We start from the raw sequence: 21,560 nt of genomic DNA on the forward strand, positions 1-21,560 counted from the left end.
ACCTGGAGCCTGCACGCTGTGGGGCGGGGGCTTCCCCACTCCAGGTCAGCAGCAATTTCCCAGGGAGCTTTAAAAATGCACATTCCTGGGCCCCGCCAAGGTATTCTTATCTGGTGAGCCTGAATCTGTGTTCTGAGGAGTTTCCAGAGGATTCCAATGACTGATCAGGTTTGGGAACTCCTGGCTGAGAGCTTTTGGAAGCCCAATCTAGTCATGGGATAAAAATGACTGGGATTTTCAGAGAAGAGGAAAAGGAGGAGACGACTCAGATGAGTCCCTGCTCCTTTCTCCTGCTTCTTTTGTGAGGATGTTGGGAACGTCAAGTGACAAAATGGATGGGCAGTGACTGCGGCAGGAACCCACTCTGTCATAATGTTCCTCGCATTACAGCCTTAGTCCTGACAATCTGTGAGCCGCTATTAGGATCCTCATTTTATAAACTAGGAAACCAAAGCATGGAGCTATCCCATTCCATGTCTAAGATGTGTAGCTGTGTGCTGGAAGCCAGTGGACACCTGGGCTCCAGGCACTCCTTCCTGCCTTGCCTCAGTTTCCTCTTGGGCTGTCATGTCCCGGCCATGTCTTTTATTTTATTTTTTTTGAGACGGAGTTTTGCTTTTGTCACCCAGGCTGGAGTGCAGTGGTGCGATCTTGGTTCACTGCAACCTCCACCTCCTGGGTTCAAGTGATTCTTCTGCCTCAGCCTCCTCAGTAGCTGGGATTACAGGCACCTGCCACCGTGCCCAGCTAATGTTTGTATTTTTAGTAGAGATGGGGTTTCACCACGTTGGCCAGGCTGGTCTCAGACTACTGACCTCAGGTGATCCACCCACCTCAGCCTACAGTGTTGGGATTACAGGCATGAGCCACCGCACCCGGCCCCAGCCATGTCTTATTCACCATCTGTAGCTATAGAGCTGACCTTCCCCCATACCTGTATGGCTGATAGTAGGTGAGCAGGAAGCTAGGACCCCCATATTCCAATCCCTCTGCTGTTCACAGCATCAAGCTCCAAATCTAACCCAAGATTTAGCACAGCATTTACCCAAGTCCATGATAATGTGGGCTGGTGTCCTATATTCTCCACAAGGGGTCCCAGAAATAGGAGGAGAAGGGGTGAGGACAGTTGAGTCTCAACTGCAGCTGTCCAGGAGGTGGAAATGATGGGATGGGAGAGGGCTGATGTGTAAGATTTGCTCATTTCCATAGTGTAAATGCTGTCATCATGACTGATGTCAAACTACCCCTGGCTTAACCATGGGCTTCAAAATTTCCTGAAAATTTGAACACTGAAAATTGCATGTGAGCAATGAGAAGTGTGCTTCACGTTGTGAGCCAGTGTCTATGCCACACGCTGGTCTTGCATTTCTCGCCCCTGTCTAGTCGTTGCCTCTCTCCTGCCTTGTTTTGTACGCTCGTGCTTCAGTGTGTCCTGTATGTATTGTGCCAGTGTGAGGAGTTGAGCGTGGTGGGCTTTCAGTAAATGGTGACCAATCGGAGCAGACCATCAGGACTCATTCCCACTGCTCTACTGGCTGAGGCTCTGCCCCGCAGCAAAGCACAGGGACCCCATGAGCCTGTCTGCACAGGGAATCATCATCTGAATTCCTATGGACTGGGGCACAAGTCCTTCCATGCAGGGCAGGGCTGGGACTGGAACGAGGGATGAAAAGCCAGGCAGGGAGAGGACAAGCCCTCAGACCACCTGAAGCCCAGTTGGTGATGTGGCCCTAGAGAGGCCTGAAGCAAGCAGAGGTGGAGGGTGGCCCTGGGAGCCAGCCTGCAAGAGCGAGTTTGGGGCAGGGTGACAAACAGAGCCAGGTGCTGGAAGGAGCAGCTGCAGCTGCACATCAGGGAACAATATTTATATGTGCACCATGTGGGAAGCGCTGTGAGTTGTACACTCAAATTTTAAAGCCGTTTCTCCCTCCCTCTCACACACCATGCTCAGGAGCTTCTTAGAACAGGCAGTGATGTGGATGCGGTCATCTCTTGCTTACATACTGCCTAGTAATCTTTCAACCAGCAAAACACTCCACATCCAAACTATCCCCAAAAGCCCATCTGCGCGTCTCCAGGATTTAGCCCGCCTCCCCACCCTTGCCGCCCCTCAGTCCAGGGTTTTGTGATGTCTCCTTGGGATCAGGCTGACAGCTCGTCCTGGGGTCCTTTTACTTCTGTTCTTGCTCTCCTCTGGTTTGCCATTCACCCTCCAGGGAATTTTCTTTAGTGAAAACTTGATTATTGCCTTGAGTAAAATCTCTTCAGTGGATTTGCTCTAACGAATTATTCACCTTTTGCATGTTTGCATGAATCATGGCAAACTGCTACCTGGCTTCAACAGCTCTCCTTAGGGATCATTGAATTGAAGCAAGGGTGGCGGGCAGGGGCGTACACAAGGAGCAGTGGATGCATACACGTGACAATAGTAGAATGAAAAGACAAAGAATGCACGTAACACCCATGTCCCCATTTTATCCCTAGGGCCACATGCCTGGCAGCTGACTGTGTATGTGAGTATATGCAGCATTCTATTATAAGCCCCTAAAGTGCAGAGGACACATAGACCCCGTTTGCTTTGCCTGGTGCCCAGCACAGTGCCATGGACAAGAAGAACTTCACAAACACCCTGACAATTCCAGGGGCTCACATGTGTGCTGGCTGAGAGCTGAGATCTCTGGTTGTAGAGCATTGGCATCTATAGGCAGCCTCGTTTCCATAAGGGTGCATTATTTTGAGCTTACATCAACAAGGGAAATAAACATCTGTGGCGTTGTGTAACCTGGCTTTCATCTCGCCCCCAACAGAAAGTGGGTCATTGAAATGTGGGTAGAAAACAGAGTAGGTGATTCCTCTGTTTGCAAAAAGATGATTTAGGTCCTCTCGTGTTGTTCTGATAGCAGAGGCCACGTTGCTGTGACGTGGACTGCAATGTTAAAAGGACCGAGATGCAGGCCTTCTGGGAGACCTTGGCCCTTTGTCTGACGTGTCAGTTTTGATTTTTATGATTGATGATGCAGCGAGTCAACAGAATAATAACACCCACAGCAGCCCATGTGGAAATGGTGCTGAGGGGCCCTTCTGCTTTCATTCTATATAAATTTCACAAATGTCTGACCCATGTGATTTTAAATAAGCAAACAAACAAACCCCAAGCCTTTGCAACCTGATGTTGCAATTTGATCATAATGGCAATTTTCTCTTTCAACCCGGCTTCTATTTTTTTGACCTGGGAATGTGCTGATTGGATTATTTTGGGTTTGGGGAGAAGAGAGAATTCCCTAGGAGTCATCTCTTTTTAAAAAGCAACACAGTTATTTAAAAAATACGTGTGAGTAAATCATATTACTTATTACATTTCATGGGGCATTTAATAAAACTTCTCAATAAATAACAATGTTAAGTAGGCTACTGAGAGTAAAACGGACATTTCTGCCAAGGCCGGGCCATTTCTCTGTAGTTCCCAAGGGAACATCTGGTGCTTTGGTTTAGGAAGAAGTCTTTTCTAAAAAAACACACTGCATTGCCTCGTTTGTTTTTACTTGATTCATCAATATCAGAGGAAACTTTTGGTTTATCAGTTCATCAGATTGCAAGTTACATAGTCCTATGGGGGAATGAGGCTTCACATAGGAGCCCCAAAAGTCAAGTTCCATCAGCTGTAAGTGTGTCAGCAACAATGCCAGTGGTGAGGGTTATATACAGAATGGCTCACATGTATTAAACGCTGATTATGTGGCAAGAGCCCTCCTTGTGTCATCTCATTTAACTCTCCCAGGTAGTTGCAATTATTAGGCCCATTTTAGAGATAAAGAAACTGAGGCTTATGTACATTGTCTAAGATTGCTCAGTACGTGGCAGAGCCAGGGTTTGAATCAGGCTGCCTGACCCCAGAAGGTGCAAGAACAGCTACTCCCTGAAAATGTCATCATGACCGCTTATGCTGGAGTCCACTTAAATCAGGCAGAACTGTAGAGGAAGGTTCATAGTACAGGCAGCCTGCATCATGATGAAAAAGATCTCCACCTCTGGTTTCAAGCTTCAGGTAAAAATTTTATGTTTGTTGTTTGTTATGTGGATTGTGATGCTGCCTCCGGAAAAGCGAGCTGTGCATCCCGCTGAAAAGCTGGGTGGCCTGAGCTGAGATGTGGGGTCCAGGGCCCTTGCCTGTGTCCCGCAGAGTGCATCCTAGAGTGTTCCTCCTGCCCACAGCCCGTTCTTCCCCAGATCAGAACAGGAGGCAGGACCCCAGCCTACTGGGATGCTATGTGACTGTGTGAACTCCTGCCTTCGTGGGCCATAAATGGGATCTCATCCAAGTTCCCAGAACAGTGACAACGTTGTAAACTTCAAGTGCCATGAAACTCACTCGAGAACTGCTGTGGGTTGAATTGTGTCTTCCCAAAGACATGTTGAACTCCTAACTCCACCACCTATGAATGTGACCTTATTTGGAGATAGGGTCTTCACAGATCTAACCAAGATGAGGTCAAAGTGGATTATAGCGGGCCCTAATCCAATGCCTGGTGTCCTTACAAGAAGAGGAAGATATGGACACAGAGACTTGCAGGGAGAGCACCCCGTGAAGGCAGAGGCAGAGACTGAAGTGAGTTGTCTACAAGCCAAGCAATGCCAAGGATCTGTGGCCACCACCAGAAGGTAGGAGAGAGGCAAGAAGACATCCCTCCCCTAGAGCCTCCAGAGGAGCAGGGTCCTGTTGACACCTTGATTTCAGACCTTCGAGCTCTAGAACGGAGACACAATAAATTTCTGTCATGTTAAGTCACTCAGTTAGTGGTGATTGTTACAGCAGTCCTGGGAAATGACTAGAAGAAGGTTGTTTAAAATGCAGATTTCTGGACCCCACACTCATAGATTCTGACTCTTGGGCAGGGCTTACAAAAAGCCAGGTGATGCTTATATGGGACTCAGGGAGTGGAATAAATCCAAGGTCATCACATCCATTGCCCTCAGCATCAAGACTGTGGAATGTTTTGTAAACTGATTTCATATATCAAAATATGCTTAGTTGTCCCTGTAAATGATAAATTAAAAAATAAGAAAGAAATCCATGCTACTGATTTATAAGAGAGGGTGTACAAGGAAAGCGGGTTAAGCCAGTGTCTTAGATAAGCGTTCTTGTATCTTGCACACCTGTCTGGGCTCCGAGGCCTGCATTCAGGTTCACACCCCGTCTTATCTTTATTACCTTCTTTATCTTTAACATTCTAATGTTGACCCAGTGGGGGAAGGGGGACATTGTTTTGAACTTAAGGCTATAACTCAATGGAGTTAGGAATGTTTTTATCAACTTACATCTTGTCTCCTGCGTTTCCTCCGCTGCAGTCCACTCTGTAGCCAGAAGGATGTCTCTATGCACGAGTCTGACTCCACTCTGCTTAACCCTCTTCCATAAAGTCCAAAATTGCTGCATGGCAAGAAGCTCTTTGTAATGGGCCCTATTCACCTCTCCAGCCTTATGTCCCCAGCCGCTCACTAGCTGTTCCCCATGTGCCCTCCACCTCCAGCCAGTTTATTGGCCGACTCTCTTGCTTGGTCTCTTAGTTTAGAGGTCACTTCGTTGGGGAAAGTTTCTTAACTATGTGCACCTCAGAACCCCTGTTTACCCTCATTGCAGCCTGTGTCACACTGGAGGGATGATTACCTCTGTCACCTCTCCCCAGTCTGTGTGTTCTCCAAGGACGAGGAAAATGTTTTACTTGGTGTTGTATCCTTAGTACCTGACACATTGTAGGACACACAAAAGATGCTCAGTAGATATGTTTTGAGTTGATCGTTCTGAAAGAAATGTTCTCAGCTCCACCACTTAGTCTTCAGTTCTGGCCCCTGGGTAAGCCTCAGAGGTTAACTTCTTTTCTCTCAGCTCTTGTGCTTAGGTTTCTGAGCAATACGAGGAAAAAGAAATACCATACAACCGTGATGACTGAACTCATCCCAGCCTCACCATCCTAACCTCTGCGCTTCCCAAATTGCTCTCATTCATGCTTCATGGTACCAATGTGCTCCTCACTGTAGCAGTGCTGACATTCCATCTCAACCACTTCTCATAGAGACGCTGGCCATCTGAGAAGGCTTCCACTGCCTCTCCTAGTTCCTCCTTGTCGTCTAAGTACTACCTCTCTTCCATTCCTTTGATTGCATCTTCTGTGGTCCCCTCTGTCACTTTGTTTTAGCTATAATTTCTTTTAACTTTGAGCTTTTTCTCTTCAAAGTCTCCTTCTCCTAACTGGTACTATGCTTCTCTCTGACCCTTCTTAAAACTTCTATTTCCACATAATGCTTTCTCCTCAAATTCCCACAAAAATCCATCCATCCATCCCATCCATCCATCCCATTCATCCATCCATCCATCCATTCATCCATTCCATCCATCCATCCATCCATCCATCCATCCATCCATCCATCCCATTCATCCATCCATCCATCCATTCATCCATCCATCCACCCATCCACTCACCCATTCATCCCATCCATCCATCCTATCCATCCATCCATCCATCCACCCATTCATTCTTTCAACTCTCTACATAGCATTCAATATGGTATTTTAAAAATACAAATTAAAATTAGTTCATTTCATTGCTTAAAATTATCCAGGAGCTTTGCAAGGCACTTAAGAGAAAATCTAAACTCCTTCTTCACTATTACCTTCAAGATCATGTCAGCATCCCATGATCTGGCTCTTGCTCACTTCCCTGACTTCATCTCCTCCATATGTGCCCTTGTCCATATGCTTCAGCCACACTGGCCTTCTTTCTGTTTCTTGAGCATCTTCTCTTTAGAAAAATGTACGCTATCTGTTCCTTTGCCTGGACAACTGCTTCTGCACTCTGCATGGCTGCCTTCTTCTCATTCATGCCTTTGTTCAAACACCACTTACTCAGTGAGTCCTCCCTTGACAACACAACCTAAATTTGCACCTAGCCTCTGTCCCAGCACACTCCATAACACCAGCCAGTGCTCTTTCCTTCACAGCACTTATTACAAAATAAAATAAAATTTTCTTTGTCACTAATTTGTTTGCTTTTTATCTGTTTCCTATCCCTATCCTCAATGCTAGAATATAAGCTTTCCAAGAGTGGTGTCCTTGTCTGTCTTCTTCATCATTGCATCCCTAGGACCTGTAAAGTGTCTAGCACATATAGTAGCACATGCTAAATATTTGTTTAATGCACGCATGAAGGGAAGGACATTCTAGACAGATGGGAGAGCATGAGATAAAAGTACAGAGTGTGTATTGGCAGAGATAAGTGATCTTAGATGGATAGGTCATAAAACGTCAGACTGCACTGGGGCCAGGAGGCTCCTGTGTGTGCACGCTGACAGAGGTGGAATGCATGCATGCATTCAACAAATATTATTGGAATCCTCCTATGTGTTGGGCAAGTCAAGGAGCTCACAGTCTAGTAGGGAAAGACACACATACACATTACATTATAATATAAACATAAACATTATAATAATGTTATAAGTGCCACAATAAAGGTGTGTACAATGTGTAATAGGAGCCCAAGGGAGTCAGGGATTCGGTCTATGTGAGGGAGTCAAGGAGAGCATCACAGAAGGTGATGCTTTAGTTGGTCCTTAGTGGAGAAAGGTGCTTACCTGGCAGACATGGCAGGGAATGGTAACAATGCTCAGAGCCTGGATCCTACTTTCTTCCTTGACTCATGGAAAATGGTGACTTTCCAGCTCCCCTCCGACTTCTGATAACTTCTGATCCCTTTCTGGGTCCTAGCCCTCACTTTGAATACAGACATTCATGATGTCCTTTGCTATGAGATGGCCACATACTTCTGTCTAGGGCTATTGCAGACACTTGGGATTCAGTCATTAGCCCTATGCAAGTAATTCCAAATCTCAATCTTTAACCCTGACATTTCCCTCAGATAATTAGTTCAGTATCTCAACAACTTGTGAATTCCTTCCACTTGGACATTATCTTAAACTCGGTATTTCCAAAAACAAATCAGTGTTCTTCTCCTCTTCAAATCTACTCTTTCTCTTTTGTTGCCTCCATTTCTTCTTCAAACTCCCAGGTTAGTGTCTTTAGGGTAAACCTGATTCTTCCCTAATTCTCATATCCTACATTCTATTAATTAAGATGTCCTTAGATTCTACCTCTGAGATATTCTCATATACATTCCTACCTTTCTATTTTTTATGTTGGGCTTCCTCAACCACTCCTTGTGATTGCTTTATTAACTTCTGAATCTATTTTTTGGCCTTCCCTCCTTCTCTTCTTTGATCTATCCTTCACATTTGATAAAAGTTATTTTCCTAAAGCAGATTGAAACATAAAATATCTCAGCTCAAAAGACTTCAGCAGCTCCCCACTTCCCATAGAAAGACCAAGCTCTTGCACAAAGCATCATGGCTCTGATGACCAAGGTCTTATCTATGTTTCCAGCTCTGTCTATTCACACACACTGGAGCCTCCTGGCTCCAGTGCAGTCTGGCATTTTATGACCTATTCATCTAAGATCACTTATCTTTGCCAATACACACTCTGTACTTTTATCTCATGCTCTTCCATCTGTCTAGTATGTCCTTCCCTTCATTTCCCATGTTGAAACCCTACCTGTCTTTCAAAACTCCATTCAAATATCATTTCCTGGCTAAATCTTCACTGATTTTCACTCAATATTCTTATTGGTTAAAATTAGTCATTCTCTTGTGTGTGTGTCCTAGAACATTTGTTTACTCATTACTTTTAGCATTTATCATATTGTGCTCACATTACATTTATTTGTACACATTTTAAAATTCTTACTTTATTACTTTCTTTTATATTTAAATGTTCTTCTTTTCTTTGTGTACATTTATATTTCTATCTTGTATCATTTTCTTCCTGCTTGAAGAATTTCCTTTAATATTTCTTGTAGTTTGAGTACGCTGGTGATGAATTATTTAGCATTTTGTATGTCTGAAAATGTCTTTATTTTCTCTCATTTTTGTTGGATATACAAATTCTGAGTTGGCAGTCTTCTTTTCTCTAAAGATTTTGCTCCACTGTCTTCTGGTTTGCATTGTTTCCAATGAGAAAGCTACTGACATTCTTATCTTTGTGCCTCTGCATATATATATTTGTGTGTGTGTGTGTGAAGCTGTTTTAAATATTTTTTTCTTTGTCACTTGTTCTGAGAAATTTGTTGCTCAAATTGATTGCCTTGGTGTAGTTTTCCTCATTTTTTTTTTTTTTTGTGGGTGGGACTTGTTGAGCATCTTGAATGTGTGAGTTTATAGTTTTCATTGAACTATGGCTTTGGCTGTCATTTCTTCAAATCCTTTTTTCTGTCTCCTTTCCTCTCTCTATTTCTTTGGAAAGTCAAATAAACATATATTAAGCCTGTGAAATTGCCCTACAGCTCACTCATGATATTTTTCTGTAATTATTTTTTGGCTTTTTTCCTTTTGTGTTTCTTTCATATTAGGTAATTTATATTGCCATGTCTTCCAGTTCATTAATCTTTTTATTTTGCAGTGTAAAATTTGCTGCTAATCCAGTCCAGTGTGTTTTTCATCTCACACATTATATTTTCAACTGTAGAAGTTTGATTTGGATCTTTTATTTTTAATAGCTCTCATGTTGCTATTTAACATGCTTATTTTCTTCTAGCTTCCTAAACATATAGAATACAATTAAGTTACTGTTTAGATGTCTTTGTCTGGTAATTCTATCACTTTCAAGTTTGTTTCTATTGATTGTTTCTTCTCCTCAGTATGAATTCTTTGCATGCCTGATTTTATATATATATATATATATATATATATTACAGTTCAGTAGTGTTAAGTATATTTACATTGTTGTGCAACAGATCTCCACAGCCTTTTCATCTTGCAAAATTGAAACTCTATATCCATTAATAACATCTCTCCATTATATCTTTTTACTCGCAACCCTGGGCAGCTATCATTCTACTTTCTGTTGTTATGAATTTGACTACTTTAGATACTTCAGATAAGTGAACTAATATAGTATTTGCCTTTTTGTGACTGTCTTATTTCACTTAGCATAATATCCTCAAGGCTCATCCACATTGTAGCATGACAAGATTTACTTCCTTTTAAGGCTAAATGCTATTCCATTGTATGTATGTACCACATTTTGCTTTTCCATTTGTCCATTAATGGACACTTATATTGCTTCTGCCTTTTGGCTATTGTGAATACTGCTGCTATGAAGTGGGTATGCAACACGCCTGGTAATTTTTGATTAGATATCAGACATTATATATTTTATTTATTTGGATGATTGCTATATTTGTATTCTTATAAATAGTCTTGAGGCTTGTTCTGAGATGTAGAATATGTAGAAATGCTTTGATGATTTTAAGGTTTGCTTTTAAGTTTTTTTTTTGTTTGTTTGTTTTTTTTTTTTTTTGGTGTTACCAGTACAACCTTTAGTCTAATTTTTCCTTGCTGCTGGGTTACTATGCTAAGGTACCTTGTTAAGTACTTTTCCTGATACTCCGTGAATTATGTGGCTTTCCACTCTGGCTGATGGGAATACGAACTACTTATGAGTCTGTGTAAGCTGCAGGGATTATTTCCTCTGCTCCTTCTATGTGGTCTTTCCCAAGCTTTGGGTAGTTTTCTCACATGCATGTCCTTATCAGTACTTAGCTAACGACAAGTACTTTGTGCTGCAAACTGTAAACTGTCTTGGCTTCTGCAGACTTACAGCTCCATTTCTTCAGCTGAGAGAGAGTGGACTGCATCACCTACATTCCCCTTTGTTGCACCCAGGCCTGGAAACTCTCTCTCGGCAGTAAGCTAGGACAATTGTAAAGCCCACCTCACATAGTTCATCTCTCTTAGAAATCGCTGTCCTGTGTTGCCTGAAATCTGATTTGTGAAAGCTCTTTTTTATTTTTACTTCTTCTTCTGGTTTTTAGTGTTTCTTGTGGGAGGGTTAATCTGGTCCCTTTTAGTCTACGTTAGCCAGTAGTGGGAGTCTCATTAGCATTAATTATTAATAATTACTCTCCTCACACATAGTAATATGGCATTCTATCAGCAAAGTGCTTGATCCTGTTTAAGACAGTGAGGAAGACTTTCCTCAATCCATAAGGTTCACAGTGAGGGTTTTAAGTACCTCATTAAGTACTTAGAATTCTGCCATCCAGGAAACACATGAAAACAGAGTATAATCTCTCTCTTATGATGTTTAAAATATTAGGCTCATAAAGACATCACAGTTTCCTGGTGAATACTTACTGAATAAACAAGGGACTAGTTCCAAAGCTGTAGGGGAAGGGAGTGACTAGATTCCTGACAGCACATAGGATGCCACATTTGCAGATTCCCTCAGGGGCAGCAGTGAACTCCATCTCTGAAAATAGATGATTACAAATTTTCTTTGTGTGCTACTGAAGCACATAAATCTCTGTGAGGTTGATACTGACTGATTTTTTCCAGCTGAGCTCCAGAGGCTATTTGCCAAATACCATGGAGGAGGCATCTCCCTGGAATACCTGAGCGCCCTTGTTCACTGGGATGGTCACAGCAAGAGACTGATGCCTCTGCACACCTGCACATCTGAGAGGCAGAGTTGCCATTGACCCTTCCTTGAAATGCCTTGAGGTACTGGATTTGCTTCCTAATTTCTCTGCTTGAAATTCCTTCTCCACAGGCCTATAATTTAATCAGAATATTCATTTTTTCATGTCTTTTTATATATATATATTTTTAGAGGCAGGACCTTGCTCTGTCACCCAGGCTGGAATGCAGTGGCACAATCATAGCTCACTGCAGTCTTGAACTCCTGGGCTCAAGCTATCCTTCTGCCTCAGCCTCCTGAGTAGCTAGGACTATAAGCACATGCCACCATGCCTGGCTAATTAAATTTTTTTTTTTCTTTTTGTAGAGACAAGATCTCACCGCCCAGGCTGATATCAAATTACTGGCCTCTAGCAAGCCTCCTGCCTGGGCCTCCCAAAGTGCTGGGATTACAGGCATGAGCCACCACACCTGGCCTGTTTGTTTGTGTGGATAATGGCTTGTTGTATCTTCACACAATATATTAAGTCATCTTAAACCAAGAGGGAAGCATCTTAGGCCACGGCTACTAAGTTTCATGTGGCTGTTCAAAGGCAGCCTGAAGCTCCTAATTTCTGTTTGGGAGGCAGTGAAGCATGGCAGAAAAAACACAGGAATACGAGTTGGGAGAGCTGGAATCTAATCCTGGTTCTATTGCTAGTACACCAGAGCAGTTACTTAGCTTCTCTGGGCTTCTATTTTCTCATCCTAAGTGAAAGTTAATGAAAAGAAGTAATGATAGTTCCCATTTGTTGAATCTCATTCTGTGCCAGACTCTATATTAAGCGTTCTACATGCATTTTTCTTTTGATTTTCACAGAAACCTTTATTAGAGATTAATTGTTTTTATTCCCATTTTATGGTTGAAGAAACTAGAGCTTAGAGAGTTTAAGCAATATTTTTGCCTAATAAGTGATAGAGCTAGGATGAAAACTCAGCTTTGTTCATCAGGTTACATCATTAGTTTACCTTAAAAATTCTTTCCATGCATAAAATGCCATGACTATACCACAATGTAGAAGGCCTACGGTAATCACAGAGCTCTCATGGTTAATGGTGTTTGAACTTCAGAGTGACATGAATATAACCAATAGAAACAAACTTATTAGGCATCTTATATGACTCATTTCTAGACAATGTCTCTTTTAATACCAGTCTGTTTATTCCTTCTGGAATTCCAGTTAGATATTTGCTGGATACTTCCATTTTATCCTCCACCTATTTCAATCTCTTTCTCTTTCTTTGCTAGATTCTGTGTAGTACTCTCAGGTTTATCTTCAGTTTGCTAATTCTTTCTTCAGTTTTGTCTAATTATCTGTCCAACGCATGCACTGAGATGCTTTTAAGACATTAACCCTAATGTTATTTTTATAAGTTCTATATTTTTAAGTCTGCCTATTCATTTTTCATCTTATTATTATATTTTTATCATCATTCATCTTGTTTCTTACATATTTGATTATCCTTTTCTTAAATCATTAATAATTGTATTATTTTAGTCTTATACAAGAGTTCTATTCTCAGAAGTTCTTACTGAGTCCTGCTTGTTTTGTCTGCTGGCTCTCACTCATGGTAGTTTCTTTCTTTGTGTGCTGTGTGTGAACTCATGTTTGAGAGTCACGCATTGGTTTTCTATTCAAGGTTACCACAGTCCATGGATACATTTTTGTATTACTTTTGCATCATCTTGGGTAGCAAGTTTGATATCTAAATGTGTGTGAGATCTAACTTAAAGTTTTGAATTTCCAGAGGGAACTTTAAAAATGCCCACTCAGTCAGAGACAGAAAGGCTTTCTCTTTCTCTGCCTGTGCTGGTGGGTTCACTGTTCTCCTGAGTTATCTTCAAGAGTCTTGTCTGTATATTGGAGTTTCAGTTCCATCTCCTAGCTCCTCTGGGTAACTGAGATAAATCCCTGCCACACCCTCTCAACCAACTTCATGCTGCCACAATGTGGGCTCACATCATCTTCACTTTTTTTTTTTTTTTTGAGTCAGAGTCTTGCCTTGTTGCCCAGGCTGGTGTGCAGTGGTGCGATCATGGCTTACTGCAGCCTTGACCTCCTGGGCTCAAGTGATCCTCCCACCTCAGCCTCCCAAGTAGCTGTGCCAGCCAATTTTTTGTTTTTTTGTATTTTTTGTAGAGACTGGGGTGGGCGGGCGGGGGGTCGGGGGGGTCTCACCGTGTTGCCCAGGCTGGTCTCTAATTTCTGAGATCTAATCCCGAAGTGTTGGGATTACAGGTGCGAGCCACTGCACTCGACCACCATCCTCACTGTGGTTTTTGGTTTCCTCTTTATTTATGGGCTTTGGGGAGTTCCTTCCGGTCACCTAGCTATGCATTTGAAATAAATCCCATATTTAATTTGGCATATCTAATTGTACTGTAGTGGGAAAGTTTCCAGTTATTAAATCCATAATTTTGCTGAAAATGGAAGTTATTTATTAACCTACATATCACCACAGTTCTTCAAGGCAAGCATGGTTATCTCCAGTTTGTAAATAAAAAAGGGCTTCAGAGAGGCTCAGTAACTTGCCCGGCATCACACAGCCAGAGCGTCAAATCTTGCCTGCAGAGGTTTCTTGGGGCCAGGAGAGTGTGTTTTAGTGCCTTGGGCCAGGCTCCCCAACTTCTCCACAACTGCCCCTGTCTCTCCTCTCCCTTATCCTGCTCAGCTTCACACAGTTACTTACTTTTCTGGTCCCCAAAGGCCTTTGAGCAGGTGATACCAATTCCAAATCCTTCTGCAAGAGCCACTGCAGATTTGTCCGATGTTGACTCCTCTGTGTCACTGGTGCTAGCTTCCCAGCCTGTTCATTTTATTCCACTGCCAATGTAGCCCAAAGCAAATGCACACGATTTCCTATTTTTCTGTTATTTTTCATGGTCTATCAAAAAATATATGCTCCCACTTTCCAAAATCAGAACATCCACTAGTGTCTGCATGAAGTAAGTCATGAGAAAGGTGAGAGTGCCTCCCTGTCACTAATGCTTATCCTAGCAGTGCGCCAGTATGGAATGCTCTAGTGCAGCTTGGTCCATTCAGCGGAGGGCTACCCCTGCTTTACAGCCCTGTGGTATGGATTATAATTCCTTACTTACCACTAAATTTTCTTCAAAGGCTGTCTGTAGCTCCATGTTATGCATACCTCTACCAGAAAATTCACCTTTTTAAGACTCAGTTTAAGGCTTGTCTCCATAGTGAAGGCTCACCCTCCTGGGCACTTCCATATGCGTGATCCTGATAGGATTTTATGGTTGTCTCAGAAGCATCAGTGTGCTTTGTCTCTCCAATGAGATGGTAAAGTCCTCTAGAACAGGCATTTTTTCCCCCAATCTCTTTTTTATTCATTGTGGGATAAGGTCATGTTTTAGCCACACAGGAAGAATGGATACTTTAAAATAGACTTCCATTTTTATTAAAATATTGAAGGGAGGGTGGTTGATGGGTACAACAAATAGAGATGAATCAGATCTACTATTTGATAGCACAATAGGATGATCAATTACAATTTAGTTATACATTTAAAAGTAACTAAGAGTGTAATTAGATCGTTGTAACAGAAAGGATAAATACTTGAGGTGGTGGATACCCCATTCATCCTGATGTGATTATTATTGTATCCTGTACCAAAATATCTCATGTACCCCATAAGTATATACACCTACTATATGCCCACAAAAAGCAAAAATAAATTTTTTTTTTAAAGTTAGAAAAATAAATAAGCTAATGACTTTTTTTATGTTGAATCTCCAAATTTGACACTTACTTAAATGTTCAAGGTGAGAAAATTTTTATGTATTATCCTCATCACTGTTTAGCATTTTTAATGATGTTGTAACATACATTGGAATTTGTTTCTTTCAGGCCAGAAACACTGAGGGCATCTTATTTACACTTAACTCCATCTTGTGAAAAAAATGGAGCAGCAAAACTAATAGCCCAGATTTGGACCCCAGGATGACAAGCTCCAAGATGGTGGATAATTTTCCTTCTTGACCATAGCGTTAAACCTAGCCATTGTGATAAATAAAGTGACTTTTGGCTTTATGACTTTCAGTGTAAATATTGGATTACCTTATCTATTCAAAGGACTTCAGAAGTGTTGTCTGTTTTTAGGCAAATATTCTGGTCACTGAACACCCAGAGCCACTATCAAAAGCCAGTAATGGTTTAATAGTTGTTTTATGTCTCTTTGTACTGCTGTTTACCTTTGTTTCATGTTCCTAACTAGTTGTTGATTTCCTTAAAGGCTGGAGCTGGCTCTTGCCCAGTGGTGGGATTTAGTGTTTTCTTTTTTATTTATCAAATATTTTAAAATATTAACATTTTATGAATGTTAAATCATTGAATCCTCATAGCTTCTTATGGGTTAGGTATCCTGTAATATTTCCATTTTGCAGATGAGGAAAGTGAGGTGTGGAGACATTAAGTAATTTGCATAAGGTCACACAATTTGTTATATGGCCAGTATTCTGACCTAGGAGATCTGGCTCAGAATCTGTGCTCTTAACCAAAAATGCTGTTAGATTTCAACAATTTCTGTTTTAATGCTTTAAATTGAACAAAATTTTAATGTCATGGAGGGAGGGGAAGGAAGAACATTTTCTGCTCTTTCCTACTCTCAAATCAGGGCTGGAATATATGTGTAGACTTATATAATGTTTAATTAGAACACTCATGGAGTTCAGCTTACAGTAAACATGTATTTGATTTCCAGCTCTTTGCAAAATGCAAACAAACTTTGTACTTGTTTGTCTTAGTCTTATGTCTTGGCATACTTTCCCAGATGGCTAAATGAGAACGTAGAAGTTGCAGAAATAATCGTTTAGTTGAACGGCTATAAAATTAATAGAGTCTTTCTTCAGTGCCTTCTATCTCTCTTTCCATCTCTCTCTGGTTGAGTGGGGATTAGAAATTGGACTAATATGAGAAAACCAGGAGTCTGTAAAGTGTCGTATCTGATACTGGCAGCATCCTGCTCTGAATGAGGTTACACAGATTGCATAACTCACAGAGATAGGGTTCAGGATCGGAAAAGGAGGATTACAACAAATGCTAAATTAAGTTTGTATGTGGAGCATAGAGTTCATTTTAAATCGAGAAATATTCATGGAGAACTGTAATATTTTTCATCTAACATCTAAGAACTAGAATCATAGTATCAAAACTTAAGTGAAACAACTCTGATTTTTTTTTTTAGTAAAGTGAACCTGAAAAGTATATGCAATTTTCCCTGCATATGTCTGGAAATTTAGTTGTGGAGATACACAGTACATGTGATAAAATATTAAACAGAGGGGGACATTGTTTAAAATTACTAATTATTAACATGTCAGTTAATGATGTGGATTAAATACTTAAAATAGAGAAAAAACTATGCACATTGTTAAACTTTGGATATTCCTCTTTATTACAGTTGTGCAAGCCACTGATTATTATTCCATTTGGTTAGGGCATTAGAACTGGAGAACTAGCACACAATTTTAGGGTGGAACTAATCAAATCAACCCTTTAGTACAAAATCTAGATGTACTTTCGTTAGGGCTTTTGAATGTGGGACCAGAAGCGAAAGAGTCAGATTCTAATCACCTGGGTTAGGACTTGGCCCAAGCATCTGGCCCATGTGTATCCGCCAAAGCAAGAAGGGCCAGGAGCAGTGAGATTTTCATTTAGATCCCATTTAAGAGCAGGGTTTTTAAAATTAGCTTGGACTTCCCTTTAGGTTGGGTGCTTGGGAAATGCCACTGCTGTGACTGTCAGAGGCTCACTCTTCACGTTGTATGAATTTGTAGAGGACTTTAGAGCTCGTCCATATGTCACTCGATCCCAGGTGGTCCGGAGACGTAGCAATGTGACCAGGGTGAAGTAGAGAACTGATGAATTCCCTTGGGAGAGGAATTTTCCAGCACCTAATAGTGATGGATGCTCCTTACAGCTCCAGCAAGAGGCATACAGTCTTCATTTAGGAAAGCTATGATGCCGTAATGTTACATTCACCATTTACCTAATATTCTTCATGATCTCTGAGGTTTTTCTGGGTCTTATCCATTCTCCTGGGCCAGTCTATACATTTTGGTCTTGAGGAAAGCTTCAGTTAAATAAAAAAGCATGGGGTTTGGAATCAGGGTGACCTTGTCACCATCACCATCTGCTCTGTGATTTGGGGCAAATGGTCCTTCTTGGGCATCAGTGTCTTCATCTGTAAAATGCACTGAGAAGGTGGACACCCAGGGTAGTTTAGAGGATGAAGTAGCTGGGGTGTGCGTGGTGCCCGTGCTCAGTGGTGTTTAATAAGCACGCAGGCTTCTCCACCACTTGCCCAGCAGCGGCCCCAGTGCTCTCTTGTGACCTGAGAGCTCTGGCACAGGCCTCCAGGGGGAGGCCAGGGAGGAGAAGCTGATCTCCTTCCTTTGAGGCCTTTTTCTCAGCCACAGAGAAAAAGAGTGGCTGAGGAGAGGTGCCCAGTGACCACAGTCCAGGAATGAGAGCATTCCTTTCCTTCCCAAATGCTGCCTCTTTCCCCTCATTAGTTCACTGACCTTTTAACCCAGCCCCCTTTCCTTTAAAAAATAGTTGCATTAAAGATGAAAAACATATTTTAAAACGTAGTCATTGTGCAAACCAAAAATAAAATCCTAAGCACCCCCATGGAACGGACCCTCTCTTGACCAAGGGGATCCCAGAGAAACCCAAAAAACTGAATTCCAGGCCATAAGGGAAGGCAGGTTGGATGTGCCTCCTCATACCTCCTCCTTTTTGGAGTTTAGGCACAACTGACCAGCATTAACATTAAAATGGAAATCATAAGACAGAAAAAACAGAGTCTTTTTGGCAAGAAGATACCAAATTCCTACCTGACTCTGGTGTAGTGTCATATGACAGATGGCAGACCCTGAAGGATATAAAAATATTTTTCCCAAGATATATTTCTTTGATGTATTTTAAAATGGTACTGCAAAGTTGTCTTTTGAGGAGGAAATTTGCATCTGTAGAGAATCTCTATGAATGAAACCAGGCCTTTCCCAGATCTAGGAGAGATTAACTGAGTCTGACGCCTTTTAAAGCCTGAAAAGAAACCTTTTCCATTTATTCTCTCTGAAGGCTGCTACCTGGAGGCTTCCTCTACATAACAAGAATCTTGGCTTCCACTCTCCCTTATCTTAATTAAACCATTTCTTTCTACTGACTTCAAGTCTTTATACAAAGCTTAACTCTTTCAACCAATGGCCCAACAGAAAATCTTTGAATCCACCTCCACCTGCAAGCCCCCACTTTGAGATGTCCTGTCTCTTCAGGCTGAACCAATGTATATCTTACATGTATTGATTTATGTCTTTGCTTATAACCTCTATCTCCCTAAAATGTATAAAACCATACTCTAACCCAACTACCTCAGGCACACTTTCTCAGGACTTCTTGAGACTGTTCCCTGGGCCATGGTCACTCATATTGGCTCTGAATAAACCTCTTTAGATATTTTACAGAGTTTACTTTCCTTCACCAACAATAGACAGACATAAAAACATGGGAAGATCCAGAGCTTCCTCCCACCTCCGAGCCACGGCATGCAGGGCACTGTATTTCATGTGTGTCAAGGATCGCAGTTGGAGCACGTCGTTCACTCAGGGACTCAGGTGTGGCTGGGCTGGCCTGCGGGGGCTGTGGTGGGTCTGTTGGGAGCTGTTTTCCAGAGGACATGTGGAAAGCATGTGTGCTGCTGTGAAAGGGAAGCTGACTTCACATCCATGCAGGGGTGTGTTATTCCTAGTGTGCACCAGGTGTCTGGGGTGGGGGGGCAGGGAGCAGAGTATGCCTTTATTCCCTGCCAGCAGGTCTGGTGGCTTCTCCTGACATAAGAGATGATGGATCCCAGCAGCTCGGTAGCCTTGGAGGGTGACCCCTTGAAGGGGACTTCACTGCCCTCACAAGGGACAGCTTTTGTACACACAGCAGGCCCATCTCCCCCATGGTGAGGTCTGTGGTGCTGAAACCACCTCTGCAGGGTTGACAGGAACTGCATGCTGGGTTCTGTCTGGGTGGAAATAGAGTTATAATTCAGCATGAGCCAGGCTGCACCGTGGCCCACTTCCTTGTGTCCACAAGTCTGAGCGTTTGTGTTCCCATTGTTCCTTCAGACAGCAGCTCTGACGTTGGAATCATAAGGCTTTTGTTTAAGGATCGCTTAAGAGGTTTTTCAGACCTCAAATTCCAGAAACCAATTTGAGGACCTCCACGGAGGAATAGGATCAGCATGAGGATAAAACGCCTTCCTCTCTCCCTGCCCCCTGACTTCACCCTGCACTCTTCCACCAGTCAAGAATCTCCACACTTTGGCCCCATTCAAAACCCATAAAAACCCTAACCCCAAATTCCTCAGGGAGAAGGATTTGAGGTTCCTTCTCATCACCTTGTTCATTGACCCTACGATTAAACCTGTTTTTTGCTGCGAACTGGTGTCTTGGCACACTGACTTGCTGTGTGCATCAGGCAGCTAATCTATTATGCTTGCAGTGCCCCAGCAGGGCAGTGTCTTCCTAGCTCCCATGGCACCGGCTGCTCTGTGGGCTCCACAGCCCTCAGCAGATGTCATGGAAAGGACAGATACCGCGGGGTCATGAGGAGGAATTGACACTTTTTGAAAGGGGACAGATTGGAAGAGAAATTGGGGGTCCTGGGATGGTGAGTGTGGGCAAAGTTTGAGAATGTCTGTGTCTGACCATCCAGAGACCCAAGACTTGCCTGTGGGCTGGGCTGGGCTGGCCTGGGAAGCCCAGGTTGTATTTATGAGTGCATTGTGCATTTATGTACCCATTTATATTGAGGAAGCCACAGAGGGGACACTGATGGACAGGAAGTTGACGAAAATTGTAGATGTGACTATGTAACCCAAAAACTCAGAAAAAAAGAGACAAGAATGATATATTTGATAGAAAAATGCAAGCCAGGCTTTAGCACTGGAAATCAACTTAGACCTGTGGCCCAAGGCAGAAGGCACTGTCTTGAGCCAGGGTGAGTGCAGCTGGGAATGACACAGTGGATTGGGACCTTGGAAACCATAGGAGTCAGTGCCAGCCTGAGTGTGCTGGTGAATATCCCTGGACAGAGAAGCTTAGAGAAACTTGGGGGCTGCTGAGCCTGGAAGTTGAAGTGTGTGTGTGTCCTTCATATAGAAGACTGGCTGGTTGAATTTTCAAAATAAATTCCACAAATATGTCTTCTTCATATTCTCAAATATCGTAGTTTCTACTCAGATCACACTGGAGAGAAGGAGGAGAAGTGGGAGAAGGAGGAGAGAGAGGATGATGACACACATAAGGAAGTGACCTAGGTAATAGGTGCTTAGCAGTCTTAGCAATCAGATCAGCAGAGCTGGGTTGTACATTGACATCACAATTCTTTCTTCATCTGGCTTTTTATGGATTTATGAATTCTTATCCATAGCACATTGATAATATTCTAGGTTGGAGTGGGGGACTTTCCCAGACTTCACACCAAGTTGCTAAAACTCCCTTTAAAAACTTCCTTCTTTTTACAAACGTGGAAACAAAGAAACACACCTAGATAAACAGAGGAATACAAATGCTGTAACAGAGGCCCATAAGCAGGTTGATGGAGCGGTTTTCTCAATGAATATGTTATGTATTAAGGTCTAGCACTTAATGTAGAGAAAATAGATCGAGAGATGATGGTGACATTTTAAGAGTTCACAACCCCCTCTGATAACATACAGATTTTAAAAAGCAATTTTAAACCTAGGAGGAAAGAAAAATATACAAGGAGTATTTGAAACAGAGTCCAGCTTGCAATGCTGCAGGCCAAGAACAGTTCATAGCCCCCTGAAGACAGACCCCCCCCCCAAAGCATGCCAACTTAGTGCCAGCAAGCGCCAGGGAACACATTTTGCACAATTGGCCATTGGCTTTGTTTCTTAAAATGTATTCTTGGCATTTTCCACAGGATGTACTTGGTAGTGAGTGGATGTGTAGACCTTTGAGA

At 42.3% G+C, this 21,560-nt stretch overlaps 1 annotated feature.

The window, feature by feature from the left end:
* Window positions 19,138-19,835: an enhancer, noted in NCBI's record as "H3K4me1 hESC enhancer chr13:22330294-22330991 (GRCh37/hg19 assembly coordinates)". NCBI's record gives its function as "activates a minimal SCP1, AML or CMV promoter by ChIP-STARR-seq in naive H9 embryonic stem cells {active_cell/tissue: H9 hESC(naive)}" and the evidence as "EXISTENCE:reporter gene assay evidence [ECO:0000049][PMID:30033119]".

Source organism: Homo sapiens, chromosome 13 (genome assembly GCF_000001405.40).
Source record: "Homo sapiens chromosome 13, GRCh38.p14 Primary Assembly".
Taxonomy (NCBI): Eukaryota; Metazoa; Chordata; class Mammalia; order Primates; family Hominidae; genus Homo; species Homo sapiens.